The sequence below is a fragment of the Homo sapiens genome, chromosome 4, assembly GCF_000001405.40.
Source record: "Homo sapiens chromosome 4, GRCh38.p14 Primary Assembly".
Classification (NCBI taxonomy): Eukaryota; Metazoa; Chordata; class Mammalia; order Primates; family Hominidae; genus Homo; species Homo sapiens.
In genome coordinates, this window is record NC_000004.12 from 102121873 (window position 1) to 102142254 (window position 20382).

Here is a 20382-nt window from a genome sequence, read left to right on the forward strand (position 1 = left end):
GGAAAAGTCTGCTGCCAGATGTATTGGAGCTCCATTGTGTGTTATTTGTTTCTTTTCTCTGGCTGCTTTTAGAATCCTTTCTTTATCTTTGACCATTGGGCATTTGAATGTTAAATGTCTTGTGGTAGTCTTCTTTGGATTAAATCTGCTTAGTGTTCTATAACCTTTTTGTACTTGAATATTGATATCGTTCTCTAGATCTGGGAAGTTCTCTGATATTATCTCTTTGAATAAACTTTCTACTCCTATCTCTTTCTCTATCTCCTCTTTAAGGCCAATGACTCTTAGATTTACCCTTTTGAGGCTATTTTCTAGATCTTGTAGGCATACTTCATTTTTCTTTTTTTTTTATTATACTTTAAGTTTTAGGGTACATGTGCACAATGTGCAGGTTAGTTACATATGTATACATGTGACATGCTGGTGCACTGCACCCACTAACTCATCATCTAGCATTAGGTATATCTCCCAATGCTATCCCTCCCCCTTCCCCCCACCCCACAACATTCCCCAGAGTGTGATGTTTCCCTTCCTGTGTCCATGTGTTCTCATTGTTCAATTCCCACCTATGAGAGAGAACATGCAGTGTTTGGTTTTTCTTCTTGCGATAGTTTACCGAGAATGATGATTTCCAATTTCATCCATGTCCCTACAAAGGACATGAACTCATCATTTTTTATGGCTGCATAGTATTCCATGGTGTATATGTGCCACATTTTCTTAATCCAGTCTATCATTGTTGGACATTTGGGTTGTGTCCTCTGACTTGTATTTTCAAATAGCCTACCTTGAGCTTACTAATTCTTTCTTCTGCTTGATTAGTTCTGCTGACAAGAGACTCTGATGCACTCTTTCATATGTCAATTGCATTTTCCACTCCAATATTTCTGCTTGATTCTTTTTAACTATTTCAATCTTTTTGTTTAATTTATCTGACAGGATTCTGTATTCCTTCTCTGTGTTATCTTGAATTTATTTGATTTTACTCAGAACACCTATTTTGAATTCACTGTCTGAATGGTTACATGTCTGTCTCTCCGGGATTGGTCACTAGTGCCTTACTTAGTTCATTTGGCAAGGTCCTATTTTCCTGGATGGTCTTGATGCTTGTGGATGTTCATCAGTGTCTGGACATTGAAGAGTTAGATATTGTAGTCTTTTTAGTCTGATCTTACTTGTACCCATCCTTCTTGGGAAGGCTTTCCAGGTATTTGAAGGGACTTGGGTATTGTAATCCAAGTTTTTGGTCACTGCAGCCATATCCACATTAGGGGCACCATAAGTCCAGTAATGCTGTGGTTCTTGCAAACTCGTAGAGGTACAACCTTGGTGGTATTGGATCAGATTTGGAAGAATTCTCTAAATTACAGGCAGAGACTCTTCCTCTCTTCCCTTACTTCCTCCCAAACTAAAGGAGTCTCTCTCTATGCTAAGCTGCCTGGAGCTGGGGGAAAGGTGATGCATGCACCCATGTGGCCACCTCCACTGGGACTCTGCTGCACCCAGGCCTGCAGTAACCACTGCCTGGAGACTGCTTATGTTCACTCAAGGCCCTAGGGCTCTACAATCAGCAGGTGGCAAAGCCAGCCAGGCTTGTGTCCTTCCCTTTAGGGTAGTAAGTTGTACCTGGTCCTGGGCAGGTCCAGAGATTTCATCTGGAAGCCAGGGCCTAGAGTTGGAAATCTTAGAAATCTACTTGGTGCTCTGTTCTACTGCAGTTGAGCTGATACCCAAGCCACAAGACAAAGTCCTTCCAATTCTTTCCTCCCCTTTCCACAAGGAGAGGAGTCTCTCCCTATGGCCACTACTGCCCTGGGCCAACAGCAAGTTCTGTCTCACAACCACCAACGTTCATTCAAAGCCCAAGGACTCTTCAGTCAGCTTTTGATGAGTGCTGCCAGGCCTGGGATTCTCCCTTCAGGGTAGTGGGCTCCCCTCTGGCCTAGGGCAAGTCCAGAAATGCTGTCCACGAGCCAAGCCCTAGAATCAAAGACCCCAAGAGCCTACTTGGTGCTGTACCCTACTGTGGCTGAGCAGGTGGTATGCTGATTTTTGGTTCTTATAGAGGTGCTCTTTTGTGTGGACAGTTGTTCAATATAGTGTTCCTACAGGAAGGATGATCAGTGAAGGCTTCTATTCAGTGAAGGCTGCTCTGCCTCCTCTCCTAGAAGACTTCATTTCTTCATAACTTCATTTCTGTCTTCTTTATGGTTCAGCACTGTCCAATCGAAATTTCTGTGATCATGGAAATATTCTAGGCTTCACTGTTGAATACAGTAGCCACTAGCCATATGTGACTATTGAGCACTTAAAATGGGGTTAGTGTGACAGAGTACTTAATTTTTAATTTTATTTAATTTTAATCTATTGATTAAAATTTTAATTTAAATATCCTATTGTAGCAAGTGACTACTGTGTTGGACAATGTATGGAAAGGCAGACATCCTTGGCACTATAAGCCACATTACTTGACTTTCAATTATAGAAATCCCAGGGAAATAATTATTATAGGAACTATGTAACACTAGGAGATAAAGTACATCTGATAGTTCAGCTAGATTGAAGGCAGTGTTCTATCTGAACAAAATCTATAGATGTCTTCTGGTAGTAATCCATCCATGGACTGTATACTGTTGAAGGCATAATTCTTTTTGCCAGATTTAGCTATGTCAAGGAAAAATTATCTAAAACATGCAAATGTAAACTAATAGTCTTTATGTTTATCAATAATTTCTGTCAACTCACCTCAAATCCAATAGTCAATTGGTACAACTCTGAATTCACTCAGTTATTGAGCAAAGAACTATTTTATTTAGATAACTGTTAAATGTTAAATGTGTTCTGAAAATGGGAGCATAGGTTTTTGGCCCAGGATTTCAACATTTAAACTACTCATAACCAAAGCAATGATAACATGGAACCAAGGGGAAACTATCACCAGGACTTCAATAAAGGCTGTGAGTCAGCACAGGATAAATAAAGATGCATTATTTTGAGGGGGAGGTGGTGAAGAGAGTGATATGAGAGGAACATGGGCACTGAAGGCAGGCCTTGATGTGACTCCTAGCTGTGACTTGGATAGCTGAGTGACCTTGGGAAATTTGCTTTAGTTTTCTCATCTGTAAAATGATAATAATATCTACCTTGCACATTGCTGAAAGGGCTATAAATAATGTGTTGCAAATGCCTGGTGCATCTCAATGAATGGTAGTTAATATTATTGTGACAGAGTTACAACCATAGCAGCCAGTACTAGCTGCATCCCATCAAGCCATCCTTTAAATTTATAACAGAACAACTTCTTTTTTATAAGGAATCATCTACAAATAAAGTTCTGACCCAAGCCAATAGGAGATTCACAAATGGAAACATTAAGTGAACTACAGAAGACAGACCTCCTTTGTCCACAAGCTTTACCTGTTAAGGTCAAGATTCCTTTCCTCTCCATTAATATTCTCCCAAATTCAATCCAGAATTAGGAAGAAATTAAAGAGCAAAATGTAAAAGGTGACTGACAATTCAAAGAACTGAAACCGCATCCGTTTGTATTGGAAACCCAAATCACATGTAATCTTTGGAGAATGGAATTTGACCTCAAAACCTCAAAGAAAGGATCCACGAAAAGGATGAATTAGAATCAACATTTGAACTCTTCCCTCCACTGCCCCAGCATCTCCACCCATTTTTATCCATTTGATTCCGATACTACAGACTGCCATTTTAGCTTATCAGAACCAGACATTGAGGAGCAACATAAGACAAATAGTTCAGAATGCTCTGATTTGAATGTGTCCCCCCAAAATTGATGGTTAGAAACTTAATCCACAATACAACAGTGTTGGGAAGTTGGGCCTAATAAAAGGTATTTGGGTCTTGAAGGCAGAACCCTCATGAATGGATTAATGTCATTATTGTAGAAGCAGGTTAGTTATAATGAATGTGGGTTGTTATAAAGTGAGCCTGGCCCCTGGTGCCTTTCTGTTTTGCATGCACTCACTTGACCTTCCACCTTTCTGTCATAAAAAGACCCTTGCCAGATGCCAGCACCATGCTCTTGGACTTCCCAGCCTCCAGGAGTGTAAGAAATACATTTCTTTTCTTTACAAATTATCCAACCTGTAATATTCTGTTATAGCACCAGAAAGTGGACTAAGACATAGGACATATGGAAGGCAAATGCACACTCCTATTGACAAAGACAGAGAGGTTTATAAACCTGCCCACAGCTCTTAGCAATATTTCCTCTTTCAAATGGGAATCTTACATTTGTTTCACTAATAATGAAGTTATTTCAGCAGTAACCATGGGATGACAGTTTGCAGGGACAAGAATAATGAGCAAATAGTGCTTCTTACCCATTTCATTTGATAGCCGTTCTTCTCTCTAAAAGGCATTGTAGTTAATGCTACCATTGTACCAAATAATTAAATTATTCTCCAAGTAATTCACATTAAAATTCTCTCTCACTCTCTCCTCAAATTTAAATACAGGTAATTATGTAATATTTTTAGTTACAGGCAAATAAAAATTCCTACCTACCCAAAAAATTACTAAACTCAAGCATACATGCTGCTCATCAATTAAGTGGAACAAATTTGTCAGGATACAAATATATCTAGAGATACAGGGTAATGAGGTGATTATAAAAAACATATTGAGTTAAACAACCTGGGATTGATGATGCCTCAGGTCCACCTTTTACTAGCTAAATGACCTTGGGCAAGTTATGCAAGCGCTTTAAACTTCAAGTCCTTCATCTCCTAAAAATGGAAATAACAATAACACTTATTTCATAAAGTACTTCTGGTTAAAGAAATAATATACATAAAACTTCTTGCATAGAGCCTAACATGCCTGGAATCAATAAATTACAAATGATATTGTTAAATATATGTAATTTTTATTTTGTGCGTGGTAAAAAGACAAATGAAAATTATTTATGCAGGTTAATATATTTGGCATTATGTTCATGCAGCCAAACCACATCGTTTTGTATTTTTCCCATATTCAAAATAAAGAGTGCCAACCAGAATCAACAGGAAAAAAATTCACATCTAAACATATTACTATAAATTACAAGAACAACAAAAGAAAAGGGAAAATTCTGTAAGCTATCCATTAGAGAAAAAAAAAGACCTTTAAAAAAACATAATTAAATTGGCATCACATGTTTCAACAGGGACACTGTAAGGAAGAAGACACTAAAGTGATATTTTTTTCACACTATGAAAGAATGAAAAACTTGAACTTAGAATATATCCTGCTATAGTGAGCCAAGATCATGCCACTGCACTCCAGTCTGGGTGACACAGTGAGACTCCGTCTCAAAAAAAAAAACAAAAAAAAGAATATATCCTGCTATAATGGTAATTTTAAAATGAAATTGAAATAAAGATATATTCAGACATAGAAAGCCTCAGAAAATTTACTATACAGGAATTCACTTTTAAAACATTCTTGAAAGAAGCACTCCTGAAAAAAGAGAAACCAATCTAAAAATTCTTCATAAGCTCCAAGAAGTATGCATGAAAACAAGTTAAAATCTTTTGGGTTTGTGATATGAATAAGCAGTTACCAAACTAGGAACAGAAGACCAAAACATAGGCACAAATGAAAAGGAAGAAAATCTAGAAAATCAAAGTCTAAATGATGCCAAAATCAAAAAAACGTATCTGAAGATGAAAACATAACAAAGGCATTAAGAACATGCCAAGGACAGGGCCTTCTTTAGGAAAAAAATAAGCATGTGTATTATTTTTAATACCTCAGGAAGAACCACTAAAAAATAAACAGAATACACAACTTTCAATGAGTATAAGAAAAATTCACCTATTCAACGAATGCAGAAAAAATACAGAAAATTGTTATACAATTATAAAATAAGACATGAGAAATAAAAAGTAAAGTAGTAACTCATTTAATGTAAGTGAAGTAAGTTGACGAATTAAACTAGAGACCCTCAGATTAGACTAAAGGAGCAGCCATATGCTATCTATATGTCATGCATTTTAAAACAAAAGGATACAAACATGTTTAAGATAAAGGGATGAAGATATTTCAGGCAAATCTGAACTATAAGACAGCAGTGGTAGTGATATTAAAAACAGATAAGAGATATGAAAAACACACAACACCAGAAGGACTCTTATATACCTGAATACGTAAGAATAAATTTAAAACATACATAAATAGATAGATATAGATTGTTATGGTTTAGATGTTTGCCCCTTCCAAATTTCATGTTGAAATATGATTCCCAATGTTGGAGGTGGGGCTTGGTAGGAGGTGATTGGATCATGGGGTCAGACCCCTCATGAATGGTTTAGCACCATCCCCTTGGTGATAAGCGAGTTCTTAGTTCATGCAAGTTCCGGTTGTTTACAAGTCTGACTCTTGGCTCTTTTGCTCCCATTCTCACTATGCCTGCTCCCCCTTCACCTTCCACTATGATAATAAGCGTCCTCTGGTCCTCATCAGAACCAGATGCTGGCCCCATGCTTCCTGTACACTCTGCAGATCTTTGAGCCAATTAAGTCTCTTTTCTTTACAAATTACAAACTCTCAGATATTCCTTTATAGTAACCCAAATGACCTAATACAGAAAATTGGTACTGAGGAGTGGAGTACTACTATAAAAATATCTGAAAATGTGGAAGTGGCTTTGGAACTGGATAACAGGCAGAGATCAGAAGAGTTTGGAGGACTCAGTATCCTGACAACAGGAAGATGAGGAAAAGTTTGGCACTTCTTATAGAGTGGTTAAATGGTTGTGACCAAAATGCTGATAGTGATATGGACAATGAAGTCCAGGCTGATGAGATCTCAGATGGAAATTAGGAACTTATTGGGAACTGAAACAAAATCACTCTTGTTATGCCTTAGCAAAGAACTTGGCTGCATTGTGCTCCTGCCGTAGGGATCTGTGGAAGTTTGAACTTAAGAGTGAAGACTTAGGGTATCTGTCATTGAAATTTCTAAGCAGCAAAGCATTCCAAACGTAGCTTGGCTGCTTCTAACAGTCTATGCTTAGATGTGAGAGAAAATAAATGACTTAAATTTGGAACTTATATTTAAAAGGGAAGAAGAGCATAAAAGTTTGCAAATTTTGCAGCTAGCCATGTGGTAGAAAAGAAAAACCCTTTTTCTGGGGAAGAATCCAAGAGGGCTACAGAGCAACCACTTGTTACAGAGATTTCCACAACTAAATGGGAGCCAGGTACTGATATCCAAGACAATGGGGAAAAGGCCTTGAAGGCATTTCAGAGATCTATGTGGCAGCTCCTCTCAGCACAGGCCTGGAGACCTAGGAGAAAAGAATGGTTTAGGGGGCCAGGCCCAGAAATCCCTGACTTGTGCCACCCCAGGAAACTGTTCCTCACATCCTTGCTTCTCCAGTTACAGCCTCAGATCAAAGGGGCCCAAGAACAGCTCACACCACCACTCCAGAGAGCACATACCATAAGCCTCGGCAGCTTCCATGTGGCATTAAGTCTGCATATGCTCAGAATGCAAGATTTAAGGAGGTATGGCAGCTCCCACCTAGATTCCAAAGGATGTATGAGAAAGACTGAGTGCCCAGGCAGAAGACTACCATGGGGGCAGAGCCCCCACAGAGAAACTCTCCTAGGGCAATGCCAAGGGGAAATGTAGCATTGGAACGTCCACACAAAGTTCCCACAGCAGCACTGCTTAATGGAGCTGTGAGAATGCATCTGCCACCCTCCAGACCTGGGAAAGATAGAGTTATCAGCAGCTTGCACCCTTTTCCTGGAAAAGCTGCAAACAGTCAGCTCCAACCCATGAGAGTAGCCATGGGGCCTGGATCCTTCAAAGGCAGAAGGATGGAGCTGCCAAGGCCTTGGGAGCCCACCCCTTGCACCAGTGTGCCCTGGATGCATGACATGGAGTTGAAGGAGATTATTTTGGAGCTTCAAGATTTAATAACTGCCCTGATGTGTTTCAGACATTCATAGGGCCTATTGCCTCTTCCTTCTGGCCAATTTCTCCCTTTTGGAATGGTAATGTTTACCTAATGCCTGTACTACCATTGTATCTTGGAAGTAAATAACTTGTTTTGATTCTACAGGCTCATAGGTGAAAGGAGATAGGTCTCAGATGAGAGTTAGGACTTTAGACTTGATGCTGATGTAAGTTAAAATTTTGCAGACTATTGGCAGGTGATTGTTGTATTTTGCTATGTAAGAAGGACCTGAGATTTAAGGGGCCAGGGGCAGAACGATATAGTTTGAATGTTTGTCCCCTCCAAATCTCATGTTGAAATATGATTCCAGTGTTGGAAGTGGGGCCTTCTGGGAGGTGGAAGACCCCTCATGAATGGCATAGCACCATCCTATTGGTGATAAGTGAGTTCTCACTCAAGTTAGTTCACACAAGATTTGGTTGCTCAGAAGTCTGGGACCTCTCCCAACCCTGCTCTCTTGCTCCCACTCTCACCATGTGATGTGCCTGCTTCTCCTTCACCTTCCACCATGATTGTAAGCTTCTGTAGGCCCTCACCAGAAGCAGAGGCTGACAGTACACTTCCTTTATACCCTGTAGAACTGTAAGCCAATTAAATCTCTTCTTTACAAATTATCCAGGCTCATGTATTCCTTTATAGTAACATAAGCAGCCTAATATATAGAGAGAAAAGTATAAAATGGTTATAGACATGTGTGTATGCATGTATGAAATAGGTAGAGAAACAGCAGACAGAATTATGAGAAAAAAACAGATAAATCAACATCACTCCTTCATTCCTCTTTCTAACTTTACTGGCCGGGCATGGTGGCTCACGCCTGTAATCCCAGCACTTTGGGAGGCCAAGGCAGGCAGATTACTTCAGGACAGGAGTTCAAGACCTGCTCGGCCAACATAAAGAAATCCATCTCTATTAAAAATACAAAAATTAGCCAGGCATGGTGGCAAGCGCCTGTAATCCAGCTACTCCGGAGGCTGAGGAATGAGAGTCACTTGAACCCAGGAGGCGGAGGCTGCAGTGAGCCGAGACTATGCCACTGCACTCCATCCTGGGGCACGGAGTGAGACTCCATCTCAATAAAAAAATAAATAAATAAATAATTTATTTATTTCCTCACTACTGAATCATTCACATTAAAATAAACAGTTTTTTGATGCCACTTTCCTGCTTTAGTTACCTCTCCTCTCTTTTCCCATTTACAGCAAAAGTCCTCAAAAGGGTGGTCTATATTCTCTGCCTCCCATCCTCTTCTTCTCTTCTCTCTTGAACCCTCTCCAATCAGGTTTTCATCTCCAGCATTCTACCAAGACTGTTTGTTTCAAGGGCCCCAATTACTTCCACAGTGCTAAGGTAGGTGATCCATTGTGAATTTTCATATTCGGCCTAAGCTGATCACTCTTTCCCCCTTGAAACAATTATGTCACCTGGCTTCCTAGACACCACTCTTTCCTCTAGCTTTCTTTCCACTGCCTTAACCGTTCCTCTCAAGATTCTTTGTTGGTTCCTCATAGAAACATTAGTCTAGAGCCCAGGCCCTGGGCTCCAACACTATCCACACTAGTCTCACGACTTTAAATACCACTGACTTGCTAAAATCTTCAAATTCCTATTTCTACCTCAGATATCTTCCTGGAGCTCCAGGCTCATGTATCTGAATTCCTATATGACATCTATACTTGCATATCTAAAAGGCACCTCACATTAATATGTCCAAACTCAAACTCCTGACTTACAGCCACAACATCTGATTCTCCAAGATTCTTTTCCTTCCCAGTAAATATCAATTCTATTCTTCCACTGTTCAGGCCAAAACTCTTTCTCGCTTTCTTAACCCTTCTCTTTCCCTCAAACTACTCATTCAGTATATCAGCAAAATCTGTTTGCCTTTCCTTCAAAATATATACTGAATCCACCCATGTGTAATACTTTTATGACTCCTACCCTCATCCAAGAAACCATCCTATCATTTCTCATCTAAAGTATTGCAATAGCTTCCTACGTGGTTCCTTACAATCTATTCTCATCACAATAGCCACTGTAAGCCTTATAAAATTTAAGTTAGATTATGTGACTCTTTTCATCAAAACTTTCCAATAGGTTCCTACATCTCTGAGAGTAAACCCCAGAGTTCTTAAAATGTTCTCTCTAATTCAATCTCCAATTTCTGCTCTGGTACTGACTGTTACTACACTGGCCTCCTGCTATTCCATACATACCCCTTCTGCCTCAGGGCCTTTGCACCTGCTGTTCCCTCTGCTGGAAATAATTTTCTACTAGACATTCACTCATTTTTGCTTTCTTCTGGTGTTTCCTCAAATTCCATCTTTCCATGAGTGCGGTTTGCTTCAGGAAATTCCTATGGATAAATTTATTGGAGTAAACATTGCACTCACCAGCTGGATGCAGTGGCTCATGCCTGTAATCCCGGCACTTTGGGAGGCCAAGGCAGGCAGATCACGAGGTCAGGAGATCGAGAACATCCTGGCTACACGGTGAAACCCTGTCTCTACTAAAAATACAAAAAATTAGCCGGGCATGGTGGCCGGCGCCTGTAGTCCCAGCTACTTGGGAGGCTGAGGCAGGAGAATGGCATGAACCCGGGAGGTGGAGCTTGCAGTGAGCCGAGATCATGCCACTGCACTCCAGCCTGGGTGACAGAGCGAGACTCCATCTCAAAAAAAAAAAAAAAAAAAAAAAAAAAAAACCAAATTGCACTCACCTGAATAAATAACTTGTTCATCCAACAACAGTTTACTTATCAAGAGTCACTTCAAGATCCTTGCTTTGCTGTATCCACCAAACCTAAACTATATTACAAACCAGCCCAGTCCCTATCAGTTTCCCTCACTGAATGACCCATCTTAAACCACTCTAGCCCAGACCCTAGGGGCCTATAAATATCCTACTTCTGACTTCTCCTTCTGACACTAAGTCTCTGTGAAAATGGCATTCTCCCTTGCGGCAGTAAGTTCAAATGAACAGGTTTTCTGGTGACATTTCGAAGAATTCAAGAAGGAACTAGAGCATTCTTATTCAAGTTGTTCCAAGAAACAGGAAAAGAAAAAAAAAAAACCTGCCCATTCATTTGCGAGGCTAGTTCAACCCTGATTCCATAGAGAGTCTATGTAAGAAAAGAAATATAATCCAAATCACTTATTAACATTGATATTAACATTTCTAGATAAAATATTATCTACACACGTCCAAATTCAAGAAAAAGAAAAGTTCTTTCATCAAATTGGTTTTATCCCAAACCCCTTCATTTCCATCCATATAATAAGTCATATGTAAATATAATTTAACAACAGAAAATATATTAGTAGAGTCGTCACATCTCCAAAAAGATAAAAAATATATAATTAACTCAATAGGTCAGAAATGTTATTATGATTTCAAAATAAAACAAATATATAAAACTAGGAATAGATTCTTAACTTGATTAATCCTGTATGAAAAAAATTACATAAAATATCTCTTCTAGATATATTTTCTTTAAGATCAGAACACAAGATACAAATGTTTACTATTACCTCTACTGTTCAATATTGGTATAGAGAAAAAGTAAAAAAGAAGTATTTAAATTGGGAAACAAGAGAAAACACTATCGCTACTTGCAGATTATATAATCATCTACCACAGAAAGCAGAGTCTACTAGATGTAGTTAAGATTGATCAATAAGCTTATTAGGTATACACGTCAAATGTTAAAACCAATGTCTTTTACACCACAAATAAGAAAACAGAAAATAAAACCAGAACAAAACACCATTCAAATAGCAAAAAATATAAAGCAACCAGAAATCAACCTGGTAAAGAATACACATGACTTTTATGAAGAAAAAGCAAATATCGTTATTAAGCAATATAAATGGACATCTAAATAAATGAAGAGCCACTCCCTTAATCTAAGAAGAAACATTGTTGTTAAGATATCATATTACTCAAATTAATCTTTAAGACATTGCGTTGCAAATCAAAATTCCAGCTGGATATTTTGTACAGATTGACAAATTGATTCTGAAATTTATTGGGAAGAATAAATGTCCTTGAAAAGGAAGAGCAAGTAAGGAGGACTCATATATTTGACAGCCAGATCATAAGTTTTTAAGAGCTGACTCTGCCCTCCTGGTTATGGCTTCTGAAAAATTGTTTAACCTCCTTAAATCTTGCTCTTCTCATATACATGGTGAGGGTGAAAATATTACCTTCCTCAAGGGACTATTGCGAGAAATAAATGAAATAATGTATGTAAAGTGCCTGAAATGTAGTGAGAACTCAGTAAGTTTAAGCTATTGTTATTGCTGCTAGTATTATATTAATATGTAGTTATTTGTATATCTTCGTTGCAACACTAGAACTTCTTTACCCAGAATATTAAGTATTATTCATTTTGTTCACCTGTAATGAATAGCCTTCATATGAGTCATGTTTGTTGGTTTGTTCATTTTTATAATTTATAAAAGCAGAAGAAAAGGAGTTCTCTTTCTTCTCTTATTTAAGATAAGGAAAGTAGAGTCAGAGGTATTCTACTCTTTTCCAGCCCCTAGAATATAATCTCCAATAAAAGCAAAAGCAAAAGAAACGAAGCTTGCAAATAGAGGGCTTTACTGGGATTGGATGATCTATGGCAGAAATATTGTAACTGAAACTCTAAACTGCTGTTTCAGAATTTGGTATGCTTATTTAGAGACAGTAAAACTCAGTCAATAGGAAAATTCAATAAGCTTACTAATAAACTGGAAATCTTAAGGCCTAATATCTTACTTAAGTATTTATAACAAGTTACTTCCCTTCTGTCTTTTGTTTTCCCTATCTGTAAAATGGGAATAATAATTCTTGCATCCCTGGCATAACTATTGAACAGATTGATGAAGATGGTGCTATATAAATGCTTATTTCAAAACATAGGCAAATGGTGGTGGAATAAAAGTCCGACAGAATTCCCGGTGCTCTCTGGGGTTAAATGTGTTGCATATTAAAAAGTTATCATCTGTGTATCAAAGAATACCACCACAAGCAAGCAACATGAAAAAATTATGTATTTTTGTTCCCCACTCACTGGTAAACTTGACCCTTTCTACCTGTAGCTACTAATGCTTAGAACAACTGCTTTTCTCCTTTTGCAGATTCTCCTAGGAGAAAATCGAATATGCCTCTTAAAAATATAAATTATATTGAAACGAGTGGGTCCCATCTGCTAAAAAGCAAACATTGTGAAGAAAACTGTACTTATTTCAATAGCCACAAGGCATCATGGAAATTAAGCAATATAATTCAACTAGATCTTGTTTAGTGATTTCCTTAACAGCCTATATTTCATTATGTTTCCTGGGTTTTCATAAAATGTGTAATTAGACAATGGTGGCAGAGGGGTAGAAGCAGGCACTGAAAAGTGTACAAGAGGGCAGTGCCAAGACTTCGCATCGCTGTTAACGCTGATATTGACATTCAGGAAGCACTAATATTTGGCATTAAGGGTTCTCAGAGTCAATTGTTCCCATTTTTAGCTCTCGTAAAAACAAGTGATAACCAAGAGAAGCACATGATGACAAAAAGTAGCACAAGCAAGGGGCAGAAGGGCAGCAACTAGAAGTCAATGTTTTTAATGGAGGACGGAGCATTAGCCTTGTACTTGGGCAATTCTATTAATTGGGAGGATGAGGAGATCCAATGATGCAAATGATCCCATCAATACCAGACACAAAGGCCACCTGATAGCCAGGAAAATCTTCCTTGACCTCAAGGTTGCCCTGACTCCTCAGCAGAGCATGTAAAGGTCTTCTTGATGTAGACCCCGCTGGTCCTCTGCAGCCCCAGCCACCCAAAGCCACCTGCATTTCTCTTATGTCTGGATCTCTGTGCTTCTTCTGATTTCTGCTTGGATTTTCCCTCTCGCTCTGTTTCCTAATACTTGCATTTTGTGGCCAACTTCTACCAATTGTTTTGGTCTCAAACAGTAGCCTCTGGGGAGCCTTTCCTGTCACTTGTCTATCTGCCATGAACAGTCTTTTCATGCACTTCAGTGGCTCCCTGTGCTACCTCCTAGCAAAGTACCCATCACTCTTTGTTATCTAGTCACATGACCCCCCTCCCCAGGTTATCTGTATGCTCTAAGAGCTCTAGTATGGAGCTATTCTTCCTAGTGTATCTTCTCACCAACTTATACATAGTAAATGCTCAGTAGATAATGGCTGAACATTGTTAACAGAAGAAAACTAACTCAGGTTCTGGAATTAGATAAATCTGTCCTTGCATTCTCACTTTGACATTAAAATTTGTGTGTCAAGATAGTCATCTTTTCTGTAAACTGGGGCATAAATACAGATGGTGTACAGACTGTTGGTGGGCATTATTAGAAGGCAAAATATGAGAAGCATTTAGCAAATACATGGTGGTTGACACATGGTATATTAAGTAGCAGTCATTTTGATAATATTATTAAAGATAGCTAAAATTGGTTTAAGTGTATTTCTCTGCATTATAACCAGTGTTCATTTGAGTCCTAATTTGCAGAGGTTATTATAAATGCATGGGCTTGCTTAAAATTTTTCTTAAGTGAGTTCATTCAGCAGGTTTATGCTTAATTTCATAAGAGCAATCTATACTCATTTCAACCAATAACAAAAAAACTAGAAGGAGTTTGATTTAAAGAAACATATAAAATGAGGAGTACAGGTGGGGTGAAAAAATGAATAGAATCATTTTAGAGAAATCAAAATATCCAGATTTTGAAGTGTATGTCCATGCTTATAGTACCAGAAATCTTAAAACTTCTTTTTCAAGGTTTAGGACATTACCATGTGATAAAAGTGGCAGTTTCTTGGACTAGAATTTAAGCTTAAGTTTAGAAATGGGTAGAAGGATGTAACAAAAACAGCAGTTTAAAATGACAGCTTCACAGGAGGTCAAAGTGGAATTTTCATAGCATTTCCTGTCCGTTAGAGCAATTACCTGACTTACGATCTTTTTCTGTTGATGTTCAAGGAATAGAAATATACTTTTTAAGAACAAGTTTGCTGATCTGTTGTTTAAATTTTTATATGTTGAGACTTACAGTTTGAAAACACTTTTGAGGGAGTTTTGCTGAAATCTATTCCTGTGTTTGTCTAATAGTTGATGTTGTATTTCTGTTAAGTAAAAGCTATCTTCCTCTCTTCTGTCTTGCCCTTAGTAAGTTATAGTCCATCAAAAGGTGTGTGATCATATCGACAATACTATGCCAAGCTCAGTGGCAGTGATGTCAACAAAGTACTACTTAATAGGTGCACTTTTTCCAGTAAGATGCTTATAAATGACAGGCTCAACGAATAGAAATGTAAACTATGCACATATACCAATATACAGTGGTTTGTCCTTATTGCTATAGGTGTTCAGTACACAGGAGAGCTGAACCTTCCTGACTGTTTAGAACCATGAAGCCATACTTGCCTTGTGCCCTGCTGAATCCCCATTCATATCACAGTGCCTGGCACAGAGCCTGGTGCTCAATGAACATTTATGAGATTGACCTGAAATTAGTTGTATTGATTGATTTTGTTCTAAACCACCTGACTCAGCAACTTGCCCAAGGCCTTGTCCAAGGTACTCAACTTCTCTGAGCCTCCATTTCTTTATGGGTGAAATTAAAATAACAGCATCACTCTATAGCTTCTCAATAAGGACTCAAATGAGCTGGTATGTAAAGCAATCAGTGCAGTATATGGTATAGTAGATACTCAGTATGTGGTACTGTTTTCGTTTCGATACTTTCAGATATCAAGAATTGATCATGGACCTTCTGGGCCTCATTTCCAAATCATTCAAATAGGCAAATAAAGCATATTAATAGTTACGAATGTGCAATTGTGAACATCCAAATTAGCTGAAATGGGCAACCCTGAAATAAAATAAGAGGTGCAAAGGTTAGACTAGGTTATATTTGGTAATTGAAGTATTTAGTTAAGGCTTGCATAGAAATGGACCATAACCTCAACTCTAGAAGACCTGCTTTGCACACACTTTCAGCTGCCCAGCCTACAGTTTGGATACAGCTGCTCAATGAATTTATAATTTTCTTTTTTGCCAAACATAATTTTACTGGTAACTCCCTCAGAAAAAAAAAAATCAATAGAGAAAACATGTCATGTAATATAGCATGCAGAATAAGACTATGAGCTTTGAAATGACAAGCCAGTGCCCAAATCTTAACTCCACTGATAAATTGCTGAGCACCATTTTAAGCAGATTAATCTTTCTAAATTTTAAATTTTCATCTTTAACTTGGAAGTAATCATTATCCCCCAAATTGTTGAAAGCAGTAAATTAAATAATGTATATAACACATGTATGAAATAGACTGCCTTTGCACTTGCCAGATAGTAAGTTCTCAATATTCCCTGTCATCATGATCATCATCAACATTGAGAAAATCTTTATTGGTGAGACACTTTGATATTACTCATATTAAGCTGAATCTAGTCTAAGTTTAAAATACTCATATTAATTTTGCTGATAGAGGAGACAAAAGGAGAGAAAGTGTGAGGGTATCTAGATCTTGATTTATCTACTTCATTTTGGCTGACAACTTAACCTTTATCATCTAAAAACAAAATAGAGCCCATCAGTTTGTTTGTGCCATAGAGGCACAATTCTAGAAGAGTCTAGAAGTGTCCAAACAACACTAAACAAGACGAAAGCTGATACTTAGACACACCAGTTTGCATGTGCATGAGAACAAATTCCAGCACATTGCTAAGAATTGCCTATTTTTTCAAATTCAAGGTGTTTTATAATTATAAAATAGTCATAAAATCACTGAAATGTAAAACAAATAGAAAAGGAAACCAACAACAACAATAAATTGATCGCTTCTCTTCCCTACTATCAATTTCCACAGAATGATGCTCCAGCCCCCAAGGTTCTACCTGGTCAGCTCTCCATCTCACACACCATTTCCCCCAAACTCTGTTGCTTTAGAGTCTGTTCCATCAGTCATTCATCCTCCTGCCATCCCACCCACTCCTCCTCCCTGACAGTCTGGCTGTAGATATGAGTGAGGAATGATACGGTAACTAGCTTTTCAGATTTATCTTTAAATTTAAAACAGAAAAGGAAGAAAGAAAAAAACAGAAACATTGAGAAGAGATAATGACGGGGATAGGAGCTGAGAAGTTGTCCACATCTTAGGGAGAAGGAACCTGATTATGCAAAAATACAGAAAATTAAAAGTCCATGCAGGCATAAACATTCAGCTCCAGAAAGAATTTTAGTTCAATCAAATCTGAAGAATGAAGGGCATATAGTACATAAGGAACAAAAGTTTGAAGTTATATGTCATCATCTAAAAAGGGATATTATGCAGGAAACTCTTGGCAGTTCACTTTATATGGTATTTGGTTGAAAAAGTTCAAAGCCATTTGTTGCTGTTGTTGCTGTGTTTTTCCAAAGTCATTTCCTATTGATTCAGCACATCAGGAAACCACGGCTGGGTTTGCCCTGCCAAATATGAGTTTCTACTTTGCTGACTGGATAACATCCAAAAGCCACATTATATTGAAGACAATAAGCACCTTGCCTTTGAAAGGAACCAATTGCATAGACAAACGGGGAATGTCTCACAGATTTCTCATCAGTTCTGGGATTGAGTTATTGCTTTCCATGTGACTCTGCAATTTAGACTGCTGTGGGTTGCACCACTCTGGAGACAAACTCTCTAGTCTGAGTTGGGATGGCCCAGTCTTGCCTACTTCCCTTCCCTATAGTTTCACCAAGAGATCCCCATATCTTGGCACACAAATGTATTTCAGAAATAGATCTTGGATGGGAGAATAACACAGAGGTAGATGCAATATTCAAACATCCCTTTTGTAAAACAGGATGTCTGATAGCATGGGATGGAAGGAGATTAATGTACTAGAGGAACTGAATATGACCCTAAAATAATTTCTGAGTTTTAGAATATTTACTATAAAATTAAGATAATAACCCGTTCTACTCCATACGGTTGTTTGTGAAGAGGAAAGGAAAATGTATACAAAAATCATGATACAGAGTAGACAAAGGGAAGAGATTCTTCTGTTAGCCAGACAAGAATTGCAAGGTTTGATTTTGCCAGCAGGAATTTTTCCCTATTTAGGAAGTGAATATTAGAGGGTAAACATCTTGTTCAACTACATTTTCCCAGCTGGCTGCTTTCACAGATAGACATAGGAATGGCATAATTGTTTTCACTTTTTATAAAACCAGGTAGGTAGAGCTGAGTGGACACTTAGTCATCCCATTGGGAAGTGTAACAGGGACATATCAATCATTCGGAGGTTCCCAGATGAAAAGGTCAGACAAATGACTCAACCCATTTGACAGCTAGCAAATGACAGGTTTGCCAAAATTAAGAGCTTGAAGCACCAGAGAGGATCTGAAGTAAATCTTTGAGACAGCTCCAAATCCAATTCTATCCATTACCAACCACACCTGCCTGCAGCATTATGCCAATGTTATTACCAAGAGCACTGTGGCAGGAAATAAAGGACAAATTACAAAGATACAACTATAACAAAGCAGAAGGGTTGATGCTTCCCAAAGCAAGTTTATCAGTAATTGCAGTGTGCAATTCTACAAGAGTTGACTTCACAACCCTGCCTCCCTCATGTCTCTAGAAAATTATTTGTATTTCCATGTAGAGTTGGCAGCTAAGTACATAATATCCACTTAACAAACTTAATTTAGAAAGAACTTTGTGCTAAACATTGCTTAGTCCTAGGATTGCAAAGGTGACTTTGATTCCAGTGAGGGAGACAGACCTTTATTTGTCTACCAGAAAATAGTTGTATTATGCAGAAGTTACTTTAGCAGCCAAAATCATAGAATTTATCTCTCCCAGGGTATGAACAGAAGTTTAGGAAAGGATTGTTAAAGGAGGTGCCATGAGTTGAATCTTGAAGGATGATCAGGAGTTTGCCAAGCAAATAAAGAGAAAACTGAATTGTAGACAGAGGACATGGGGTGTGCAAAGGCTGGAGAGAGCAAACTACATTGAGGGATCTGAAGATGGTGAGTGTAGTATGTGAAGGTTGGATTAAGCCTTAATTTTTGGTCATGTGTGTCAAGTTTCTCTTGTAAAAAAATTATTTTCTGAAATGCTGGGAGTGGTTATGGTAGGAGTAGTGGGGGCAGGGAAGAGGTGAATGATAGAAGTAGGACAAAGCTAAAGAATAATTTAACTCAATTTTCTAAAAGAAAAGTTTCTGGACAGTACATTGTCTGTAGTGGCTGTTAGAAAGGGCAAGGCTAGATAGCCCCACAGTCCAATAATACAGACAGAACTTGTACTGGGAATGAATTGCTTAACTCTGACACTTGCATGAAATAGTCTCTCCTATGACATTCCTTATACCTCAGCTTCTACCTATGTCAGTTCCTGCATTTGGATGCAAGCCTCCCGTTACACTTGTGCTTATCCTCTGGCCAGCATCTCCTAAATTGTCTAAAATGAAAGCAATTGATAGACAAAGCCATCCAAGTCAAGGGACACCTAGAACTCTAGATGACCTTTGTGTGCTTGGTGGTAAGTAGAGCAATCTGTCTTTTTTCCCCCCAGGTTACCAATGGAACATTGACACAGAGGTGACATTAAATCTAGAAAGATTTCTTAGGAAAAGACTTAAAACAGAATAAAAAATTTGAAAACACAAGTCAACCATTGAATGTAACTTTTGTCCTGCCAAGTCTTTGGCAAAAATAGTAAGATGGGTTATAAAGCAGAAAATAACTCCATCATGTCCACTATGGCTATCCACTCCAAGTTTCTAAAACAAAATTATCTGAAAATAATGGTAAAATAATTTCTTTCTAAATAAAATAAATAAAAAAAAGATAATATGACAGTTTTTTATGGCAACAGAACATACAGGTATAATGAGTTTATTGACTCATTTGTGATATATCATTTGCCTAAATCGTTCTTTTGCATGTACACAAAATATTTAAAATTTTCCTAGAGAAAGTAAACCTTCAATTTAAAAACATCATCATTGGGATTTGAAAATAAAATCATAAGGTTTTTCCCATGTTCAGAAAGGACTGGGGATACTTAAAGAGCTAATCATTGTTCCCAAAGGTGACATTCATCAAATCCAGATGAGCAAAACTGACTTTACCATTTTATCTCCAACTAACACATGTGTGGAAACTTGGAACGCCAAGTGGCAGTTGTAGATACATGGAGAATTGGGTTGGAAAGGATTATAAGGGTGTATCTGGGCCTGGAAGTGATTGCCATGGACTGGGGGGAAGGGCTACAGTCACACATTTACCATCCTTAAGCTAAATTTTTACCTCTCTGAGCTATCTTTTGTTTCCCTTGTCCACTTGTCTCCCAATTAATTCATTTTTTAGTTTCTTTCTCTTTCTGAGTTTTGCTGCTC